At 37.6% G+C, this 23807-nt stretch overlaps 2 long non-coding RNA genes across 3 annotated transcripts in view; one reads left to right on the forward strand and one right to left on the reverse strand.

The window, feature by feature from the left end:
• LOC105374557 (uncharacterized) overlaps positions 1–23807 on the forward strand; it is a 485690-nt gene that overhangs the window by 270657 nt on the left and 191226 nt on the right. The gene's annotated exons all lie outside the window — the stretch shown is intronic.
• Positions 3247–14785, reverse strand: LOC105374556 (uncharacterized). Its single transcript, NR_188386.1, has 3 exons — positions 14486–14785; positions 6030–6134; positions 3247–5184 (listed from the first exon to the last, which is right to left on the reverse strand). It is a non-coding gene; the product is annotated as an uncharacterized LOC105374556 (long non-coding RNA).

Here is a 23807-nt window from a genome sequence, read left to right on the forward strand (position 1 = left end):
TAATGATCAAATCTAGCTCCATGGTCGTTTGGTGTCCTGTGTGTTTTGTATTTACGAGGACCTAGTAATATATCAAAAAACCCATTTGCCTTCTGCCATGATTGTGTGTTTCCTGAGGCCTCTCCAGCCATACTGAACTCTGAGTCAGTTAAACTTCTTTCCTTCTTAAATTACACAATCTTGGGCAGTTCTTTATAGCAGTATGAAAACAGGCTAATACAAGTCCCAACCCTCAGTACCCCAGATATGACTGTATTTAGAGATAGGGTCTATAAAGAGATAATTAAGTTAAAATGAGGTCCTGAGGGTTAAGTCCTAATCCTACATGACTGATGTCCTTATAATGAGAGAATATTTCGATATAGACAGATAACAGATACAGAAGGAAGGTCCTCTGAAGGCCCAGAGAGAAGATTGCCATCTACAAACCACAAAGAAAGGCTTCAGAAGAAACCAACCCTACCAACATTGTCATCTCTGTCTTCTAGCCTAAGGAAATGTGAGGAAATAAATTTCTGTTGTTTAAACAACCCAGTTAGTGAGGTTTTGTTTCATCACTCCTAGTAAACTAATACACCAGGAATGAAATGCTTGAATTTCATCAGAATCTCCTTCAATTCATACAACATATATTTTTTCTTTTATTTTTGACCTCGAAGATATATTTGCTTCTTATTTGACTTAAGTAGCACTTTGAAGAAGTGGATCTAAACATTGATTCTTACATCTGGAATCTAAACTGAACTTTTTTTTCTCCCCTCTTATCGTTGGATTACTCCATTTAAAACATAGCCTGTTGAGGCCGGGCGCAGTGGCTCACGCCTGTAATCCCAGCACTTTGGGGAGCCGAGGCGGGTGGATCACGAAGTCAGGAGTTCCAGATAAGTCTGGTCAACACAGTGAAACCCCATCTCTACTAAAAATACAAAATATTAGCCGGGTGTGGTGGTGCACGCCTGTAATCCCAGCTACTTGGGAGGCTGAGGCAGGAGAATCGCTTGAACCTGGGAGGTGGAGGTTGCAGTTAACCGAGATTATGCCATTGCACTCCAGCCCAGGTGACAGTGTGAGATTCCGTCTCAAAAAAAAAAAAAAAAAAAAAAAAAATATATATATATATATATATAGCCTGTTGAAATGTTGAGGGAAGAAAGGCCAGAGACATTTCATGTAAACAGTATAAAGATATGATATTTGTATTGCCGTGAATTACTTGTTAGTCAGCAAGTAATTTATCAGCACCATGCAACTTAGAGAAAGAGTACATGCCACGATGGAATTACACCTTAATTAACCAGATGATGTAAAGAAATTACATGTTAACATAGCCTTTTTCAATGACTATTTAAAATGGATACATAATGTGTGTGTGTATCTCAAAACACTATAGTCCTATAGAGATAAATGTATTAATATAGGTAAAATTAGAACTCACCTAAAATATTGGGCCCTGAAAATATACTGGGACAATAGGATCTTTAGGGGTTATCTATTTTCTAGAAGTTAAAAAAATTGTTTTACATTTAAATCATGCACACAAACTAAACTTTCATCTTTTTAAAACCTCATTTTAGATAGACTCTATTTTTCTTGTGAATCATGAAGCATAATTATCTAACTCCCTGAATCTAGTACATGAGGGCTTGCTATACAGACTCGCCCATGTGAGAAGTAGCTCAATCATAAAACAGCACTTGTTTTTTAGAACAGGCACTTTTATAACTCTTAAATTATAAAGTGTTATTTGAAACCCCTCTCCATGGTACATATAACAAATGGTTCATCTCTCCTGATTTGCATTCACAGAGGTTTCTTAATGGTAAGAGGTTTCTGTTTTTCTTGGTGGGAGGTGTTACCCTTTGAGTGTGTACCCAAAGAATTTTGTTTGCACTACAAAAACTACATATCCAAAATATATCTTCCCAATTTGATGAAAATATGTTCAACTTTATTTAAAGTATGCCTGTAACAAATAAAAGGGCCTAATTTTATTTGTATATATTTCCACTTTCAACATTTATAAAATTTTATTCTGAGAGATGTCAACTTTTGAAGAACTGGCTCGCGGTTATTGGTAGTACATTCTGCTTTGTGTTATCTGTGTGCAATGATGTGGAAAACAGATATGAAATTGCCAACAGGATTTATTATATTGACTATCCACCCATAATCAAGACTTAAAATCAAAGCACACTGAGTCAAGGGGTATGCATTTTACCTTTAATACCTGTAAGAAATAGAGACAATTAACTCCCCCACTTTTTTTTTAACCAGTACTTTTTTTTTACAATAAACCATGAAGGATATATAAAATCGTCCTGTGTGTTGAAATGGATACTCAGCATATCTTGTTCTTGATGGCAATTTACAAAAATAAATATCTATGTGGGTAGGTAAGTGAATGCATTTGTAAATAATAAAATTATTTAAATAAACTGCAATCAGAATTGGTGTTGCTGTTTAATTTTATGTATGTCTTTAAGTTTCACAGGATAATTGAGATTCATTTATCTCTAACAAACGGTGTGATACAATGTCACCATTAGAATTGGGCAAAATAGATAAATAGGTTTGTTTATTTTAAAGTTCAAGTAAAATGACTTCTAGATCTTGTCTTCTAAGATTAAGATCTTACTGTCCACAAGATGGAAAAATGATAGATAACAGTAGCACTGATTCTCATAATTTTTAATAGTTTCTTTCACGGAATACCCTTTAACAAGAGAAATACAATAATAATTACAGTTACTCATGAAGGATTTTAGAAATGGTAAAAGGGCCAGCTTGAAAGCTCCTGTTTTTCATCTCCACAGAGAAACTGTACTCTTTCATTTCTGTTGTACTAGAGTATAAGAAATCAATGACAGGTACATCTCTCTTCGGAATAACTTTTATAACCTTCTCTCAAAAAAAGGTCTCTATTTTCTGCATGCTACCCACAGTTCACTGACTTTGAACTAGTCATGTCCAAACCCCGGCCCAAATAGGTTGTTTCCACTATCTTTGGTGGAAGAATCCCGAGATTTCTTTGCTGAGGTATTTTCAGTTGCTGTTCTCATAATAAAGGTGACTTTTTAGAGGCCAGCCATGTTACTCATCAAATGAAGTTCAGTGCTTACTTATTTTCTTTGTTAACCTTTTGAAGGTCATATTGGTTTACTAGTGTATATTTAAAAAAAAAAGTTGCCTACAAATTGATTCTTCTATCCATGTATTTTATTACTTTAGGATTCTTACATAATTATATTTTTTAGTCTTTTGTTATTTCTGCAAATGAGGGAATTTCCCCTTTAGGGAATAGCAGTGCTTTCAGTCATGACTCTAACTAGAAACAAAATAGATTCTATTACTGTATTATTTAGCTGATTTAAATAGTTGACACTAAAATACTTAAAATCTGAAGACGATGCTGATTTCTTGCTGCTGTCAAAGCTTGCAGGGGTCCAGGCTATTTATTTTTTTTGTCTTTCATTAACTAGTTAATTCACAAAACCTTTATAAAGTCCCCACAGTGTATCAAAAACTATATAGTGTATTATAGTAGCTGTAAGAACTGAGAGACTCATGATCTCATAAACTCATTATCTATTAATAGGAAGATAAAGAGGGTAAACATAAGTAAGTTCAGAAAATGGAATATTAGCAGAAGAGACAGGCCGGGGAAACTAAAATATGATCACTAGTCAGAGGAGGACATAAGGGAGTTTCCTTATTTTTTTCCTCTTAAGTTTAAGAAACCAGGATAGGAATTGAGACAATGACACTTGGGCACAGTGTTTCAAAAAGAGGGAACAGTAGTAATACCCTGAGACATGAGCACACTGGCGTATTTGAGTAACTGGAAGTAGTGTGTCGTGACAGTGTGGTGGATGAGCTCAGAGTTTTGACTGGAACTTGGAATGTGCAGAAAATATTAGGCCATTGAAAACCACTGGCTTTCCTCTGAATCAGATGAGGAGCCACTGGAGAGTATTTAGCAGAGCAGTGACTCGATCTCATTGACACGTTCAAAGAATCACTTTGGCTGCTGTGTTTCAGTGAGACTATGGAAGGCAATAATGACAGCAGGAGGCTGTCACTGTAACCTGGCTGAGAAAGGAGGCTATCACTCTTACCTGGGTGAGAGCTAATGGTGCCTTGGAGAATAGTGGGAGTGTGTGTGATAGTGGGAAATTTTCAGGTTCTATCTATGTTTTGGAAAAAATTGAGTAATTAAAACCATTTTTGCTGATGTTTCAGACGTGGGATTCAAATAAAATATTTCAAGGATAAATCAAGTTTTTTTTATTGATTGTGTGTGTTTTTTCCCCGGATGGGCTAGAATGATCAAGTACAATGATAAGGAAGACTGTGTGTGGGTGAAACAGGTTCTACTAGAATAATAAGCAGTTCTATTTTGAGCATTTCAACTTTGAGATGTTCCAAGTAAAGATATCAAGTATGCAGTTATATATAGTGTTATCAAGTTTAGTGGACAAATCTGAATCAGAGATATAAATTTACTTGTCATCAGTATGCAGATGGCAATTGAAATTGTGAAACCAGAAGAAATCACTGAAGAAGTGTAGATAAAAGCTTAAAAAATGATCCATAAGATGCTCTAAAATTATGAAATTGGTGAAAATTGGATTTAACAAAACTGATAAAGTATTACTAGAGTCATACAAAAAAAATCAGCAAGTGTGATATACAGAAGGCAAGTGAAAGAAACACTTCTAAGATGAAGATGTTATTAGCCTTGGCTTGTGCTCTGAGGTGATGAAAATGGGACAGTATATATCAATGTTTTTTCTCCCAAGAATATAAAATCCTATCTATTATGAAAAAAACATGAACTAGATTCCAATACAGAGATACTCCACAAAATGTCTGACCAATACTCACTAAAACTGTCAAGATCGGCCTGGCATGGTGGCTCATGCCTATAATCCCAGCACTTTGGGAGGCCGAGGCAGGTGGATCACTTGAGGTCCGGAGTTCGAGACCAGTCTGGCCAACATGGTAAAACCCCGTCTCTACTAAAAATACAAAAATTACCTGGTGTTGTGGCGCATGCCTGTAGTCCCAGCTACTCCGGAGCCTGAGACAGGAGAATCGCTTGAGCCCAGGAGGCGGAAGTTGCAGAGAGCTAAGATCATGCCACTGCACTCCAGCCTGAATGAAAGTAGTATTCTGAATGAGATCCTGGAACAGAAAAGGGCACGAGGTAACAAGGAAATCTGAGTTAAGAATGGACTTTAGGGGGCTGGGCACGGTGGCTCAAGCCTGTAATCCCAGTACTTTGGGAAGCTGAGGCGGGTGGATCACGAGGTCAGGAGATTGAGACCATCCTGGCGAACACAGTGAAACCCCGTCTCTACTAAAAATACAAAAAAAAAAATTAGCCGGGCGTGGTGGCAGACGCCTGTAGTCCCAGCTACTTGGGAGGCTGAGGCAGGAGAATGGCGTGAACTCAGGAGGCAGAGCTTGCAGTGAGCTGCACTCCAGCCTGGAGTGACAGAGCCAGACTCCGTCTCAAAAAAACAAACAAACAAACAAACAAAAAAAGAATGGACTTTGGTTCATAACAACAGGTAAATATTGGTTCATTATTTGTACAAATGTACCACACTGAGGTAATATATTAGTAATATGGGAAACTGGGGCATACTCTCCATACTATCTTCATAATTTTTTTTTAAATCTAAAACTGTTCTAAAATACAAATTTTATTTAAAATGTTTATTAGAAGTATTATTAGGACCTTTCAAAATATTAAATAACTTTCTCCTCGTCCTGCTTTACTAAGATTTTAAAAATATGAATGTGTGATGAAAGCTATCATATATTTTCCACATATATTTATATAAACCATCTATTTTCCCATTTAATGTGACAAACTATAAGGAAAATTATATTTAAAGATTTTCCAAAGTTAAAATGTTTTAATTAGTTCTGATAGTATAGAACAAGCTGCAGTAAAAAGCAAAAACAAACACAAAAGCAAACTAACTCCCAATCTCAGTGACTTCAACATCAAAGGATCATACCTGTCTTGAACCACAGGTTGAACTTCAATAGGCAGTCTGATACAGGACACCCTCACACCAGGGACCCATCTGAAGGAACTTCTATCATCTAGATGTCCCTGGACACTGAAAAAAGAGAAATATGATCAAAGACACAGAAACACATTTTTGAAGGATATTTTTTGTTGGGTCTTTTATTCTGTTGTGTCTATAGTTTAGTCTCTGTAGTAAATTTTTAATCTCAGGTATTATATTGTTACACTTTGGAAATTTAATCTAGCTTTCTTATCATTAGGTTTATGTTTTTCCCTTGAGGTAGTTGCTGACTTTTAAAATGGTATCTCCTATAGTTTGGATCTGTGTCCCCGCTCAAATCTTATGTTGAATTGCAATCCTCAATGTTGGAGGTAGGGTCTGGTGGGAGATACGTGGTTCATGGGTGAGGATCCCTCATGGCTTGGTGCTGTCCTTGTGACAGTGAGTGAGTTTTCGCCAAGATCTGGTTGTTTAAAAGTGTGTGGTACCCTCCCCCGGAACCTTTGGAACCTTTTGCTCAAGCTGTGCCATGTGAGATGCTTGCTCCTACTTCACATTCTGCCATGAGTAAAAGCTTCCTGAGGCCTCCCCAGAAGCCAAGCAGGTGACTGCACCATGCTTCCTGTACAGCCTGCAGAACCGTGAGCCAATTAAACCTCTTTTCTTCCAGAACTACCTAGTCTCAGGTATTTCTTTATAGTAATGCAAGAACAGACCAATATGGTGTTTGATAGGCTGAGAAACTGCTAAGAGCTTTTGGTCGACTCATGAAGCCAAAGAGAAGAATGGTACAAACTGAAGTTCAATGCTTCAAGAAGGAAGAGTCTAGAAATATCCCAGTCATTCAGTCAGGATTCCTAAGGGATATATGCTAGGAGTACAGGGGAAGTGGAATTTGACTTGTCCTTAGAAGGACTGAAGTTCATCCTTGCATAATGTTATTTCCTGGTTAGATCAAAATTAAATGGAATTGCTCATTTCCCTAGCCTATCAGCCTATCAGAAGCCAAAAGAAATTATCTCTTGGGGAATATGGATTCATACAACCCTTAAATTATAGTTATATTTTTATTTGCAATGTATGCCATTTAAATCATAATAACCAAGTATATAACAAGACAAGCCTTAACAATTAATCAAGTGGCAAAAACAAAATAATAGATACAGGCTCGCAAGAAATCCGGATAATAGAGTTATAGACATAGACTTTAAACTGATTAATATGTCAAAGAATTGCAAAATATACTGAAGAAAACAAGAGTTTGAACATAAATGAAATGGAAATTTCAGAACCAAATTTTTGTTCTTTCTAGTCACAAATTTTTTCTTTAGCTATGTTCGATCTGCTGTTAATCAGATCCATTAAGTTTTATTTTTAATTATTTTATCTTTCAAAAATCATAACATAGATATGAAAAAATATCTGGAATAACATATGAAGAGGGAACAGTAGCATAAATATTCTGGAGGAGTCTAATGCAGAAGAGTGTAAACAATGTTAAGAGTCAAAGAAAGAAAAAGAACACATATCTTATGGTTTTATTTACATAAAGTGAAAAAACAATAAAACCGTATTTATAATGTCACATGTCTTGACATTTCTTAACTTCAGAAAGAAGAGAATGGTACTTAGAAGATGGGAAAAGGCATAGGAGTTCTTGGGTGATGACATTGTTCTATATTCGAACCTTATCACTAGTTACACATGTGTGCTCATTTTGTAGTGTTTCTTCAGGCTAACCACTTACTTTTACACTTTTTTGTTTATTTTATACATCAAAAAAAGTTTTGCCATCAAATCAAGGCCTTTAACACATATTAAACTATTATTGACCCTCTCTCATTACCCCCAAAATTGAACATCTAACTACCTAATCAATGTTTACCAAGTTGGGTTTGGGAAATAAATGATTTGTCTATGATAATCTTTTAATTTCAAGTTTTCATATTGATAACAATCTTAACAATTAACTTAAAAATAGTCTCCATGATCTAGATGGCTACTTATGATTGCTATTTTTTTTTCCTTTTTGTGTGTCAGATCAGTTGAGCTGGAGAGAGAGTTGAGCTGTCAGATGTTGACGGTAGCCAATAAATTCAGCAAAATATATTGAAAGTAACAATCAAGCCTTTAATCACTTACTCTGATAGTACAAGCAAGAGAATAAAACCTGTTCCATTTTCCCCCATGGAACAATAGGCAGGTAAGCTGGGAATGGATCAGTGCAGATATGGGTACTGCTTCACTGATAGGAAGCTCTGGACACAAGGTCCTAGCATTTTTATGGATCTTGGGATTGGTTTTATATGAACTGTTCTTTTTGTGTCCTATCTAAAAATGCTTTGTGTGCCCCAAGGCTGTGAAAGCAGTCATCTTTATCTTGATCCTTTATAATGTTTGCTTTTACATTTCAACCTATGATCTATTGCAAAGTACTGTTTTAATATGTTGTGGGATGGACCAAAATTGTTTTGTTCATTTGTTTGTTTAATATGGTTATTCCAATAATCTTTTTCCCATTATATTACACTGAAAACTTTATTAAAAATAAATTTACCATGTACATACCAGTCTACTTTTGGATTCTATTCTGTTCCATTAATATGAGTTTTTAAAATCCTATGTAAAAATTACATTATCTTGATTACTATAGTATCTATTAATGTCAGATGGTATAATTTTTCCCAATTTGCTTTAGGGATTATAGTATATTGCTTATTTCCAATAAACTACTTAGATTTAGTACTGTACTACCTCACATAAAATGTAAATGATAAGAACAACAGAATATTAAACAATATCATTTCATTAACTTCTCCTAACCTTTGTGCCTTTCTTGTTATATATGTGATATATAGATATGTTAAAATGTTGGCATTTTATTTTAAATAGTCAATTTTTGTTTAAATATATTAAGAAAATGAAGCAAAAATAATATTATGTATTTATACTTACATTTTCCCATTCTAGTTTCTGGTTCTGTTCATTTCTTCATGTATACCTGAGTTTCTATCCGGTAACATTTCCCTTCAATGTGAAGAACATCCTTAATCATTTCTTACAGCTTTTTTCTGTTGGGAACTATTTCTTTAAACTGTGTCTGAAAATTCTGTATTTCAAATTTAGTCCTATTTATAAGGGATAATTTCTCTAGCTATAGGATTCCAGTTGACAACTTTTTAAAAACATATTAAACTTATTGTGTTTTATCATGCCTTCATCTAATAAGGTTGCTGGAATTTTTGATATTGATATCTTGTTTTTGTTAGGTTTTCAGAAGTTTTACTATGATATGCATACATGAGGTTTTTTTTTTCTGTGTTTTTCATTGTGTTTGTGTGTTTTTTTGTTTGTTTGTTTGTTTTTGTTTTTTTTTGTTTTTTTGAGATAGGACCTCTTTCTATTGCCCAGGCTAGAATGCAGTGGTGCAATCATGGCTTATTATAGCCTCAACCTCCTGGGCTTAAGAAATTCTCCTCCATCACCCTTCCAAGTAACTAGGACTACAGATGCGCACCACCATATCTGCCTTTTTTTTTATTTTTTGTAGAAATGTGGTCATGTTATGTTGCCCAGGCTGATCTTGAATCCCTGGGTTGAAGCAATTCTCCCTCCTTGGCCTCCCAAAGTGCTGGGATTACAGGCATGAACCTCTGTGCCTGGTGTATTTGTTGTTTTGTTTTAACATAGTTACCTTCTTTGGGCTTGCTAAGCTTTTAAGATACACCATGAGTTCATCTTTTTCAGCATATTTAGGCAGTTTGCAGACAAATATTTCTTCAAAATTTTCTTTCTATCTCCTCTTTCCTTTGTAAAATCCAATTGTATGTATGTCAGTTGACTTGATCCCTCAAGTATTTGAGTCTCTGCTCATTTTTTATTCTAGCTTTCCTTCTCTTTTGCTTCAGTTTGAACAATTTCTATTAACCTAAATTCAAGTTAATGGATATTTTTATTTTTCCTTTCAGTTGATCCTGTGAGTTTTTTCACTTCAGATATTTAATATTTTATTTTATGGGAATTCATTAGGACTCTTTTCTTACAGTTTACTTTTTCTGAGATCCCCCATTTTTTCTCTTTTTGACTACCTTTTCTTTCAAATGCTTGAATATATATATATCTTTTTCAAATATTTTATATGCACATTCCAACATCTGTATCACTTTAGGGTCTGTTTCTACTCTGTCTTTTATTCTTTTGGCTGAAGAATACATGCTTCTGTTTCTCAAGTGTGAAAAATCTGTTTCTGGTTATCCCATGTCTAGTATTTATGATTGTTTGCTATACTGTAAGATGTTTGGATTGTGTTTCTTTCTTTGAAGTACTGTGTTTTGTTCTGGCATACAGTTAAATGAATAATTAATCACCACGTGCCTTTATTTTAGGCTTTTTCTGCATGTATCTGTTTTAATTTTTTGCCTAGTTATAGTCTGTAACTCCTACTTTTGAAGAGTGACCTTTCTGGACTGTCAACTGTACCATAGCAGGATTACTTGCTACTTAGGAAGCGTCTCCCCATTAGCTCAGCTATACTGAAATATTTCCCAGAATTGAGCAACCTCTGAAGTCTTCATTCATTCATTAGCCTCCCGGAAGTTGGGCAGGCCTTAAAGTCTCACCTTGAGCATGCATAGCCTTGTCCTCATCATCCTTAAAAACAGAGGATATAACATGCTGCCCTAAGGGTCTTCTCTGTACTTCTCTCCCCTTTCTATTATCCTGCCTCATAAACTTATCCCTACTCAGAAGATCTGAATTCTTATGTCTTCCTGTTTCATTCATTGACACTCAAGCTTTCTTCCTGGGTTCCTCATCTCTGTGCTGTGGTCTAAAAAAAAAATTCCCATGCAAGAAGCCAGGGTGAATGCAGAGCTCACTCGAAGTGTTTCTCTTCTTTCAAATAAAATAGTCTTACACTCTCTGCTGTCTACTGCTTGAAAACATTTACTTTATATATTGCGGGTATTTTAATACTTGTTTACAAAGGGTGCATAGGTCTCATATGGTAACTGTGCTATGGCTTTAGAAATGGAAATCCTAGATATATTTTATTTACATCTAGCTAAATAAAACAAGAACTATGTGGTTTGCTATATTTATCTCAAAGCTATGCTTTTGAAAATAAGTACATTCTACCTTGTCAATTTAAAAAGAGAATTTAGCTGCACTTGATTGAATATGCTAGACCTGGTATACAGTGTTCCTATGGAGACACCAACATTTAATGTGCACCCCCAATTTTTAAGCTAATAAAACAATATGATGAAGAAGAAGAAGATGATGATGATGATGATGAGAATCATCATCATCATCACAGGTAACATTGAATATTTTGTATGCTTTAAATTTTTTACTCAACACTCATGGAAACCTTGTGAAATTGGTAATATTTTATATAAAGGGACTTGGGCACAGAAAGATTAAGTCATTTGCTCAAAGCCACGCATAGAAGATGTGTTAGAACTGAGCAACTAATAGAAACAGCCCTGTTCACGCTCTTCCCCAGTGTTTTACCATCTCAAAAGACCAACTGTTTCTCTTGTGAGCTTCAAGAACATGCTTTTCTCCACTTCCTGCTATGCCACTTCGTTCCACTTCATTGCCTCATAAAATAAAATTAAACTGAAGAGTAGGAAAAGTGAAGAACACAATTTGAGGCAGTTATAGATAAGACAATTTCTAGGAGCAAAGATAATTTCCGAGAGAGAACATTTTATGACAAGAGTGATCAATCAATGGCTCACGCCTGTAATCCCAGCACTTTGAGAGGCCAAAGCGGGAGGATCACGAGGTCAGGAGATCGAGACCATCCTGGCTAACATAGTGAAGCCCCGTCTCTACTAAAAATACAAACAAAAATTAGCCGGGCGTGACGGTGGGCGCCCGTAGTCCCAGCTACTCGGGAGGCTGAGGAAGGAGAATTCCGTGAATCCGGGAGGCGGAGCCTGCAGTGAGCCAAGATCGTGCCACTGCACTCCAGCCTGGGAGACACAGCGAGACTCCGTCTCAAAAAAAAAAAAAAAATAGCACCTTAAGGAGCTATTATTTATTTAATAAATTTTAGAACATAGTTTACATGTCCTTTCTTCTAGAAAGACTTTGTTAAATAGTCACTACCATCTCCCCTCCAAATTGGATAAACGGGCCCTCTTCTGTGTATTGGAATCCTCATCACAGTACACGTGACACTGTTCCATAAATGTCCCTTTACTCATCTACCTATCTCTAAACACAAAACATTTTCTTGAAAACTGATCCTTGTGTTATTCACTCCTTTATTTCAAGTACAGGCACACAATGCCTACAAAATGCTCACAGTTATTTTGTAAAAATCTTTCATTTGCATACCTTGCACAATCAAGAAGTTTCAGACACAACTATACATGATATAGCCAAGATCTCCCTTTTCAAGAAAGTTGATTTCCACCCTTGTCTGCAGTTTGATAGTGAAGCCCTGGCTTGATTATGCTGTGATTATTTTTAGTCTTCTGGAACCATTTGCCAGTGCTTGCACTGTGGAGGATGAGCTTATATATTCCTTGAGGTAGTCATAGAAAGAGCAGCTTCTTCACGTTAACGGTAGCCGGAGCGTAGTAGTATTTATCAGAAGTAGAAACTACTGAAATTTTTATATGGCCATTTATGGTCTCAACGAATTGTAGGAAATAAATGACAGCGGAGCTATTTTCCAGAACATATGAGTGTTAAATCTAAAAGAATTATTTAACAGCATGAAATTTTAAATAGGAGGCATTTAATTAACATGAAAATGTTTTTTTTAAGACACAGGCTTACAGTTAGAGTGTGAAAACAAGTGGCTAAAATGGTTCTAAAAGGTGGCATAACCTGAGTCCCACACTTGGCAAAATATGAATGCTTTCAGAAAAATAGAATTCCAAAACATCTAATTAACTTCTGGCTAAAAATAATGAGTTTTTCCCATTTTATCTTTTCTTTTTCTTCTAGTGGGTCTCACTTAGTAAACTGTTTAGGTTGCCTCAAGATATAAAATCTGTCAAGAACATTATTGAGACATGGGGGATGGTTCGTAGAATCTTCTCCGTCAGAATAGATGACAACTAATTATAGTCCAGAAACTGGAAAACCCTGGGGAAGACGGAAAGTCTGAGTCTGCCCAGATAAGGTTGTTTGAGGCTATTTTTGATGGTTAGAGTATTTATGAGTTGTATTAATAATAAATGAACTAATGTTGTAGCACTAAAATATGAAAACATTCTTATTTGACCATGAGAAATTTGCTTGCCTGGCAACAATAATAAAAAGAAAATAAACATTAAATAATAAATTACTTCTTTAAAAGAAAGTTTTTATGCAATTCTTTAATATTCATAGCGTTGTAAACCAAGGTGTTTAAAGCTTTGTAGTGCTGCATTGTAAAAGAGAAGGAATATATTTTACTTAATTTAAGAAATGTTTTGTGATTTCTTTTTAAAATCACTGTGTATTCCTTAGTGCTAACATTTTTCTCTGTGTATCCTCTATTATTAATCAATTAATGTTATTTATAATTAAATGACACTATTTAGTTGCCATTCTATCACATAATACTTAATAAACGAATAATGATCCTTGAGGTTTTATTATCCTTTCTGGCAAGGGAGAGAAAAGGGCTTCTCTTGGTCTCTCTCTGGCACTTGTATGAAGAGTTTTCTTCTAAGTCTGCAGACTCAGTGAGTACACTGGAGAAATACCAGGAGTGTATTTTGATTTCAAAGGCATTAGGTAAGCTCTCACAGTCTGAAGCCTAAGTCAGACATTGGTGCCACAATGCCTGAAACTTACCATGTATATCTGAGAATTTTTATTAATCAGTGTCCCTTTTCCTCAGCCTTTTATTGCAAAACAAAACGTGTGCATAAGTGGGGAAGGCAGACAATGTTATTACTTTGGCTTTGATCGGTTCATTAGATCCTTTGTGACTAGAACCTGGAGTATGTGTGCAAGAGATAGTAAAAAATGGTACATGCAGAATAGTGATAATGTATTTTGTATTCTCACTTTCCAGCCCTATATATAAAACTGAAAGGATAAAGACACATTAGATAGGTAGGTAGGTAGACAGAATGAATATCACCCCAGTTCATAAACCAATTTACCTAATGTGTATAATTCCAACAATGTTTACTACTGAAACGGGAAAGGTTCCCTTGTCTCTGTCAAAGGGTGTACGATGGGGGTGTGGCTCACTTCTTCAGTACCCTGCTGCTCAAACCTCTAGGGGAGCATACAGATGGGCAGGTCGTGCGGCGACTCCACAGCAGTGTCTAGGGGTGAATACCACAGCTGAAGCCTCAGTGGGCCTGTGTTACAGGGTGCTCTTTTAGGTTGCCGTGTATAGGCAGCTTGTATTAACCAACTCAATTAGCGCCCCCTTCCTTTTCACAAGGACAGAGGGATTTCTGTATCCCGAGGTTTCTTACCTTGGTGTACTGGATGAATCGGATCACATGTGGGCTTGGAGAATGAGTGCAAGGTTTTATTAAGTAGAAGTAGCTCTCAGAAGATTCTGGAGTCACAGGGGAGATGGTTTTCCGCTGGAGTCTTCTCTGACCCCTCTGGCCAAACTCTTCTCTGATAATTCTGGCCAAACTCCGTGTCTTTCTGACGATCGATGGCCTGCGGTGCCTGCCAGTGTGCTCTTCCCCTGGCGGATTCTCCAAGACCAGCTGCTTTTGTCTTCTTCCGCTGATGTGTTCCTCATGACGTCCAGCCACTTCCGCATCTGCCCAATAGGGTCTCGGGTTTTTATAGGCCCAGGATGGGGGCGTGGCAGGCCAGAGTGGTCTGGGGGAATGCAACATTTGGGCAGGAAATGCCTGACCTCAGGTAGGTCCATTTGGGTGGAGCCCCGGGCAAAGACCATGCCCTCCTCTACCTAGCGCTTCCCTCCCCTACTTCTGTATCATTTAAATAGAGGCAAATAGAGGGAAGATATTTAGAATAGGAATAAGTTTAGAATTTTATACAGATTTTAATTCTGTTTCCTTCACCAAGTAATTTTAGACCCTTTGCAATAGTAATCTCAAATACTACAAAAGCAAAAATTATTACAAAAAATTAAGAGGAAATTGTCAATTTATAGCAGGAGGGAGGAGAATACTAGGATTAAGAGGAGGGAAAACTTCGTTAGCTTCTTCACAAACAGACAAAGGCGCAACAGAAGATGGTTGCATAGTTCTATGGGTAGTAAAAAGTACAAATCTCATTGTTCAAGAAGGAAAAACTCGCATATGACTCTAGGATCTGGGCTAATTTTCTTATGTACATAATTATACAAAAGATTTTGAGCTCTGTATTGAATGTTCTTGAGAGTTTCGGTACAGAAAAATTTGAGAAATTCCCTGTAAGTACCTATGTGAAATTATTTTATGAAATCTAAAAGCACAATTTTAGCTGTCATAGCATACACGTAAGTTCATAGGAATCAGAATAATATGTCTATTTTCAGAGAATGTGGGTAATGTGCTCAATAAAAGGAGAAATCTCAGAGAATCCAGAGGAGATTTCAAACCCCAGTACCTACAGGTGCCTGGAATGTAAATGCAAATTAGTAACAGAAGCTGGTTCTAATAAGAATTAATGCCTCTAGAGTGCTTACTAGGTGAAAGGATGTTTAACAGACTTAGTGAATAAAAATAAAAAATGGTCAGTTAAATTTGAATTTCAAACAAATAATGAACAATTTACTTTTTAAATGTAAGTATGTCCCATGCAATATTTGGCAATATTCTTTTTGTTTGGAGGACATCCTTCACTAAAAACTTATTTATTGTTTATCTGAAATTCAAATCTAAGTGGACATTCTGTATTTTATCTGGAAACCCGGTCTAAACTTTGAATTATTAATGCATTCAATTCTTAACCTGGCCTGGTAAGTATTTACTTTTTTTTTTTTTTTCATTTTACATATGTTAAAACTGAGGCTCAAAGAGGTTACGTAACTTTCTTACATCCACACAGTTAGTGGATCGCGAAGCTGATGCGCAATTCTTGAGGCCCCAGGGCCCCCTGTATTCAACTTCTCTCTAAAGAGACTCTCTTCCTTCACCCATGAATGTGGGTGCAGACCAAAGCCAAATGGAGGAAAATGAAGAACTGATATGCAGCAAGACTTCTAGCAAAATATTAAATGTAATAAAATAGCTCTATTAAAATTCCTGCTTCCAATATCACCACACTTTTTTTTTCTTTTCTTTTTTTTTTTTGAGATGGAGTCTCGCTCTGTTGCCCAGGCTGGAATGCTATTTTTTTTCTATTTTTTAGTAGAGACGGGGTTTACACCATGTTAGCCAGGATGGTCTTGATCTCCTGACCTCGTGATCCGCCTGCCTCGGCCTCCCAAAGTGCTGGGATTACAGGCGTGAGCCACCATGCCCGGCCTAATATCACCACACTTTAATTGCTGCCATCCTGCCGTAATGTGATTTTCCTAAAATTTAAAAATGGTGTGATTACTCCAGACTCTTCAGCGGCTCTCAGACCCTACAGAGTTAAGTTAAATGACTTCACGTGGTAGAGTAAGCCTTCATAATTTGACCCTGGCCTGCCTGCGTTACTTCATCTCTCTTCCACCTCTGTTATCTCACTCTTTTTAAGTATATGCAGAGGTGTCATGCCTCAGAAATACTGAATTACTTTAGTTCTCTGAATATGAAGGGTGTCAATGTATCTGAAAATTACCCAGAACATAAAAGGGGCCAAGAGTAAAGCTGTTAAATGAATGAGCAAAGGGTCATTTCAGTATGCATTGATACTCCATTATGACATTTCCTCCTCACTCTTTTTTCCCTGGCAAATTCTTGTTATCTTGAATATTAATACCTTATCATATGTATGGCAAATGTTTTCTTCATTGCAAATCCTGTCTTTTCACTTTATTGACTGATTTTGTGGTTGCCGTTGTTGGTAGTGATTTTTTTTGTGAGAAACTTTTCAGTTTGATGCAATCCCATTTGTCTCTTTTTTCTTTTGCTGGCTGTGCTTTTGGGATCATAACCAAAATAGCTTTGCCACCACCAATGTCAAGAGGCTTTTTCTCTATGTTTGCTTTTAGTGGTTGTGTAGTTTCAGGTCTTACGCTTACATGTTTAAGCCACTCTAAGTTGATTTTTTTCATAAGAGTTGAAATAAGGGTCCAATATCAGTCTTCTGCATGTGCACATTCAGTTTATTTTTCACCCCCATGTATTGAAGAAACAATCCTTTCCCTGTTGAGTGTTCTTGGCACTGCTGTGGAAGATCAATTTACCATAAATATGTGGATTTATTTCTGCACTGTCTTTTTTTGATTGGTCTATATGTATGTTTTTGTGCCAGTACTGTGATGATTTCATTACTACATATTTTAGTAAATTTTGAGATCAGATAAGGTGATGCTTCCAGCTTTGTTGTTTTCTTTCAAGACTGTTTTGACTATTCTGGGTCTTTTGTGATTCTATACGAACATCTGATGAAGGGTTAATATATAAAATATATTTTAAAAGCTCAAACAACTCAACACCAAGAAAACAAAAAACCCAATTTAAAAAATGGGCTAAGAACTTGAATAGACATTTTTCAAAAGAAGGTATAAAAATGGCCAACAGATTTATGAAAAAATTCTCAACATTACTAACCATTAGGAAAATGCAAATTAAAAACACAATGAGCTGGTCATGGTGGCTCACACCTGTAATCTCAGCACTTTGGGAGGCCAAGGTGGGCAGATCACTTGAGGTCAGGAGTTCAAGACCAGCCTGGCCAACATGGTGAAACCCTGTTTCTACTAAAAATACAAGAATTAGCCAGGCATGGTGGCGCATGCCTGTAATCTCAGCTACTCTGGAGGCTAAGGCATGAGAATCACCTGAATATGGGAGGCAAAGGCTGCAGTGATCTAAAATTGTGCCACTGCACTCCAGTCTGTGCCACAGAGACAGACTCTTCTTAAACACACACACACACACACACACACACACACACACGATGAGATATTACTTTATAACTGTTAAAATGGCTTTTATCAAAAAGATAAAAGTGTTGATGAGAATGTGGAGAAAAAGGAATTCTTGTACATTGTTGGTGGAAATTAAAATTAGTACAGTCATTAAGAAAAAAATCATGAAAGTTCCTCAAAACATTAAAAGCAATACTACTATATCACCCACAATCCCAGTACTGGGTGTATATCCAAAGAACATGAAATCAATATGTCAAAGCTATATCTGCCCTCCCATGCTCATTACATTATTATTCACAATAACCCAGATATGGAATCAACCTGTGTTCATTAACTGGGAATAAAGTAAATGTGTTACGTATACACAATAGAATACTATTCAGCCTCATAAAAGAAGGAAATCTTGCCATGTGTGATAAGCCAGATGAACCTGAAAGACATTATGCTAAGTGAATTAAGCCAGACACAGAGAGACAAATACGACATGATCTCACTTACAAGTGGAATCTAAAAGAGTTGAATTCATAGAAGCAGACAGTAGAATGGTAGTTATTAGGGGCTAGAAAAGTAGGAGGAGATGGGAAAATGTTGGCTAAAAGATACCACATTTCAGTTAGACAGAAGGAGTAAGTTCTGGACATCTATTGTACAGCATGGTGACTGTGTTTAATAATAAAGTATTGTGAGTGGCGCGGAAGATGGGTGATTTCTGCATTTCCAACTGAGGTACTGGGTTCATCTCACTGGGGCTTGTCAGACAGTGGGGGCAGGACAGTGGGTGCAGCCCACCAAGCGTGAGCTGAAGCAGGGCGAGGCATCACCTCACCTGGGAAGCACAAGGGGTCAGGGAATTCCCTTTCCTAGCCAAGTGAAGCGGTGACAGATGGCACTTGGAAAATTGGGTGACTCTCACCCTAATACTGTGATTTCCAACGGTCTTAGCAAACGGCACACCAGGATATTGTATCCCACACCTGGCTCGGAGGGTCCCATGCCGATGGAGCCTCGCTCATTGATAGCACAGCAGTCTGAGATCAATCTGCAAGGAGGCAGCAAGGCTGGGGGAGGGGTGCCCACCATTGCTGAGGCTTGAGTAGGTGAACAAAGAGGCCAGGAAACTCAAACTGGGTGGAGCCCATCACAGCTCAAGGAGGCCTACCTGCCTATGTAGACTCCACCTCTGGGGGCAGGGCACAGCCGAACAGAAGGCAGCAGAACCCTCTGCAAACTTAAATGTCCCTGTCTGACAGCTTTGAAGAGAGTAGTGGTTCTCCCAGCACGGAGTTTGAGATCTGAGAACAGACAGACTGCCCCCTCAAGTGGGTCCCTGACCCCCGAGTAGCCTAACTGGGAGGCACCCTCCAGTAGGGGCAGACTGACACCTAACACAGCCGGGTACCCCTCTGACACAAAGATTCCAAAGGAATGATCAGGCAGCAACATTTGCTGTTAAGCAATATTCGCTGTTCTTCAGCCTCTGCTGCTGATACCCAGGCAAACAGGGTCTAGAGTGGACCTCCTGCAAACTCCCACTGACCTGCAGCTGATGGTCCTGACTGTTAGAAGCAAAACTAATAAACAGAAAGGACATCCACACCAAAACCCCATCTGTACATCACCATCATCAAAGACCAAAGGTAGATAAAACCACAAAGATGGGGAAAAAAACAGAGCAGAAAAACTGAAAATTGTAAAAATCAGAGCTCCTCTCCCCCTCCAAAGGAATGCAACTCCTTGCCAGCAATGGAACAAAACTGGATGGAGAATGACTTTGACAAGTTGAGAGAAGAAGGCTTCAGACGATCAGACTTCTCCGAGCTAAAGGAGGAAGTTTGAACCCATCGAAAAGAAGCTAAAAACCTGAAAAAAAGGTTAGACGAATGGCTAACTAGAATAACCAATGTAGAGAAGTCCTTAAATGACCTGATGGAGCTGAAAACCGTGGCACGAGAACTACGTGATGAATGCACAAGCTTCAGTAGCCAATTCGATCAACTGGAAGACAGGGTATCAGTGATTGAAGATCAAACACATGAAAATAAGTGAGAAGAGAAAAAAGAATAAAAAGAAATAAACAAAGCCTCCAAGAAATATGGGACTATGTGAAAAGACCAAATCTATGTCAGATTGGTGTACCTGAAAGTGACGGGGAGAATGGAACCAAGTTGGAAAACACTCTGCAGGATATTATCCAGGAGAATTTCCCCAATCTAGCAAGGCAGGCCAACATTCAAATTCAGGAAATACAGAGAACGCCACAAAGATACTCCTTGGGAAGAGCAACTCCAAGACACATAATTGTCAGATTCACCAAAGTTGAAATGAAGGAAAAAATGTTAAGGGCAGCCAGAGAGAAAGGTCAGGTTACCCACAAATGGAAGCCCATCAGACTAACAGCTGATCTCTCGGCAGAAACTCTACAAGCCAGAAGAGAGTGGGGGTCAATATTCAACATTCTTAAAGAAAAGAATTTTCAACCCAGAATTTCATATCCAGCCAAACTAAGCTTCATAAGTGAAGGAGAAATAAAATCCTTTACATACAAGCAAATGCTGAGAGATTTTGTCACCACCAGGCCTGCCCTAAAAGAGCTCCTGAAAGAAGCACTAAACATGGAAAGGAACACCTATTGGGGAACCTTTCCCCAATAGTCACATAGGTTCTTTTCTATTTTCCTAAACATCAGCTGGGTTGAGAAATAAAGGGACAGAGTACAAAAGAGAGAAATTTTAAAGCCAGGCATCCGGGGGAGACATCACATGTCAGTAGGTTCTGTGATGCCCTCTGAGCCGTGAAACCAGCAAGTTTTTATTAGTGATTTTCAAAAGGGGAGGGAGTGTACGAATAGGGTGTGGTTACAGAGATCATGTGCTTCACAAGGTAATAATAGAATATCACAAGGCAAATGGAGGCAGGGAGAGATCACAGGACCACAGGACTGGGGCGAAATTAAAATTGCTAATGAAGTTTCAGGCACCATTGTCATTGATAATATCTTATCAGGAGACAGGGTTTGAGAGCAGACAACCAGTCTGACCAAAAATTTATTAGGTGGGAATTTCCTCTTCCTAATAAGCTTGGGAGCGCTATGGGAGACTGGGGTTTATTTCATCCCTACACCTTGACCATAAAAGACGGCCACACCCAAGAGGGCCATTTTAAAGGCCTACCCTCAGGGGCACATTCTCTTTCTCAGGGACATTCCTTGCTGAGAAAAAGAATGCAGTGATATTTCTCCCATTTGCTTTTGAAAGAAGAGAATTATGGCTCTGCTCCACCCAGCTCACAGGCAGTCAGAGTTTAAGGTTATCTCTCTTGTTCCCTGAACATTGCTGTTATCCTGTTCTTTTTTCAAGGTGCCTAGATTTCATATTGTTCAAACACACATGCTCTACAAACAATTTGTGCAGTTAACACAATCATCACAGGGTCCTGAGGCAACATACATCCTCCTCAGCTTACAAAAATGATGGGTTTAAGAGATTAAAGTAAAGACAGGCATAGGAAATCACAAGGGTATTGATTGGGGAAGTGATAAGTGTCCATGAAATCTTCACAATTTATGTTCAGAGACTGCAGTAAAGACAGGTGTAAGATATTATAAAAGTATTAATTTGGGGAACTAATAAATGTCCATGAAATCTTCACAATTTATGTTCTTCTGCCATGGCTTCAGCTGGTCCCTCCATTTGGGGTCCCTGACTTCCCGCAACAGATATCCAGGAATTGAGCTCAGCTCCGCACCAAGTGGACCTAATAGAAATCTACAGAACTCTCCACCCCAAATCAACAGAATATACATTCTTCTCAGCACCACATCGCACTTATTCCAAAATTGACCACATAGTTGGAAGTAAAGCACTCCTCAGCAAATGTAAAAGAACAGAAATTATAACAAACTATCTCTCAGACCACAGTGCAATCAAACTAGAACTGAGGATGGACAAACTCACTCAAATCGCTCAACTATATGGAAACTAAACAACCTGCTCCTGAATGACTACTGGGTACACAACAAAATGAAGGCAGAAATGAACATGTTCTTTGAAACCAATGAGAACAAAGACACAACATACCAGAATCTCTGGGACACATTTAAAGCAGTATGTAGAGTGAAATTTATAGCACTAAATACCCACAAGAGAAAGCAGGAAAGATCTAAAATTGACACCCTAACATCACAATTAAAAGAACTAGAGAAGCAAGAACAAACACATTTGAAAGCTAGCAGAAGGCAAGAAATAACTAAGATCAGAGCAGAACTGAAGGAGATAGAAACACAAAAAAAACCTTCAAAAAATCAATGAATCCAGGAGCTGGTTTTTTTGAAAAGATCAACAAAATTGATAGAATGCTAGCAAGATTAATAAAGAAGAAAAGAGAGAAGAATCAAATAGACACAATGATAAAGGGGATATCACCACCGATCCCACAGAAATACAAACTACCATCAGAGAATACTATAAACACCTCTACACAAATAAACTAGAAAATCTAGAAGAAATGGATAAATTCCTGGATACATACACCCTCCCAGGACTAAACCAGGAAGAAGTTGAATCCCTGAATAGACCAATAACAGGCTCTGAAATTGAGGCAATAATTAATACCCTACCAACCAAAAAAAGTCCAGGACCCCATGGAGTCACAGCTGAATTCTACCAGAGGTACAAGGAGGAGCTGGTATCACTCCTTCTGAAACTATTTCAATCAATAGAAAAAGAAAGAATTCTCCATAAATCATTTTATGAGGCCAACATCATCCTGATACCAAAGCCTGGCAAGACACAACAAAAAAAGAGAATTTTAGACCAATATCCCTGATGAACATTGATGCAAAAATCCTCAATAAAATACTGGCAAACCAAATCCAGCAGCACATCAAAAAGCTTATCCACCATGATCAAGTGGGCTTCATCCCTGGGATGCAAGGCTGGTTCAACATATGCAAATCAATAAACGTAACCCAGCATATAAACAGAACCAAAGACAAAACCTACATGGTTATCTCAATAGATGCAGAAAAGGCCTTCGACAAAATTCAACAGCCCTTCATGCTAAAAACTCTCAATAAATTAGGTACTGATGGGATGTATATCAAAATAATAAGAGCTATTTATGACAAACCCACAGCCAATATCATACTGAATGGGCAGAAACTGGAAGCATTCCCTTTGAAAACTGGCACAAGACAAGGATGCCCTCTCTCACCATTCAGCATAGTGTTGGAAGTTCTGGCCAGGGCAATCGGGCAGGAGAAAGAAATAAAGCGTATTCAATTAGGAAAAGGGGAAGTCAAAATATCCCTGTTTGCAGATGACATGATTGTATATTTAGAAAACCCCATCATTTCAGCTCAAAATCTCCTTAAGCTGATAAGCAACTTCAGCAGTCTCAGGATACAAAATCAATGTGCAAAAATCACAAGCATTCTTATACACCAATAACAGACAAACAGAGAGCCAAATCATGAGTGAACTCCCAATTGCTTCAATGAGAATAAAATACCTAGGAATCCAACTTACAAGGGATGTGAAGGACCTCTTCAAAGAGAACTACAAATCACTGTTCAACAAAATAAAAGAGGAGACAAACAAATGGAAAAACATTACATTCTCATGGATAGGAAGAATCAATATCGTGAAAATGGCCATACTGCCCAAGATAATTTATAGATTCAATGCCATCACCATCAAGCTACCAACGACTTTCTTCACAGAATTTGAAAAAACTACTTTAAAGTTCATATGGAACCAAAAAAGGGCCCGCATTGCCAGGAAAATCCTAAGCCAAAAGAACAAAGC

This window comes from Homo sapiens, chromosome 4 (genome assembly GCF_000001405.40).
Source record: "Homo sapiens chromosome 4, GRCh38.p14 Primary Assembly".
NCBI classification, from domain to species: domain Eukaryota; kingdom Metazoa; phylum Chordata; class Mammalia; order Primates; family Hominidae; genus Homo; species Homo sapiens.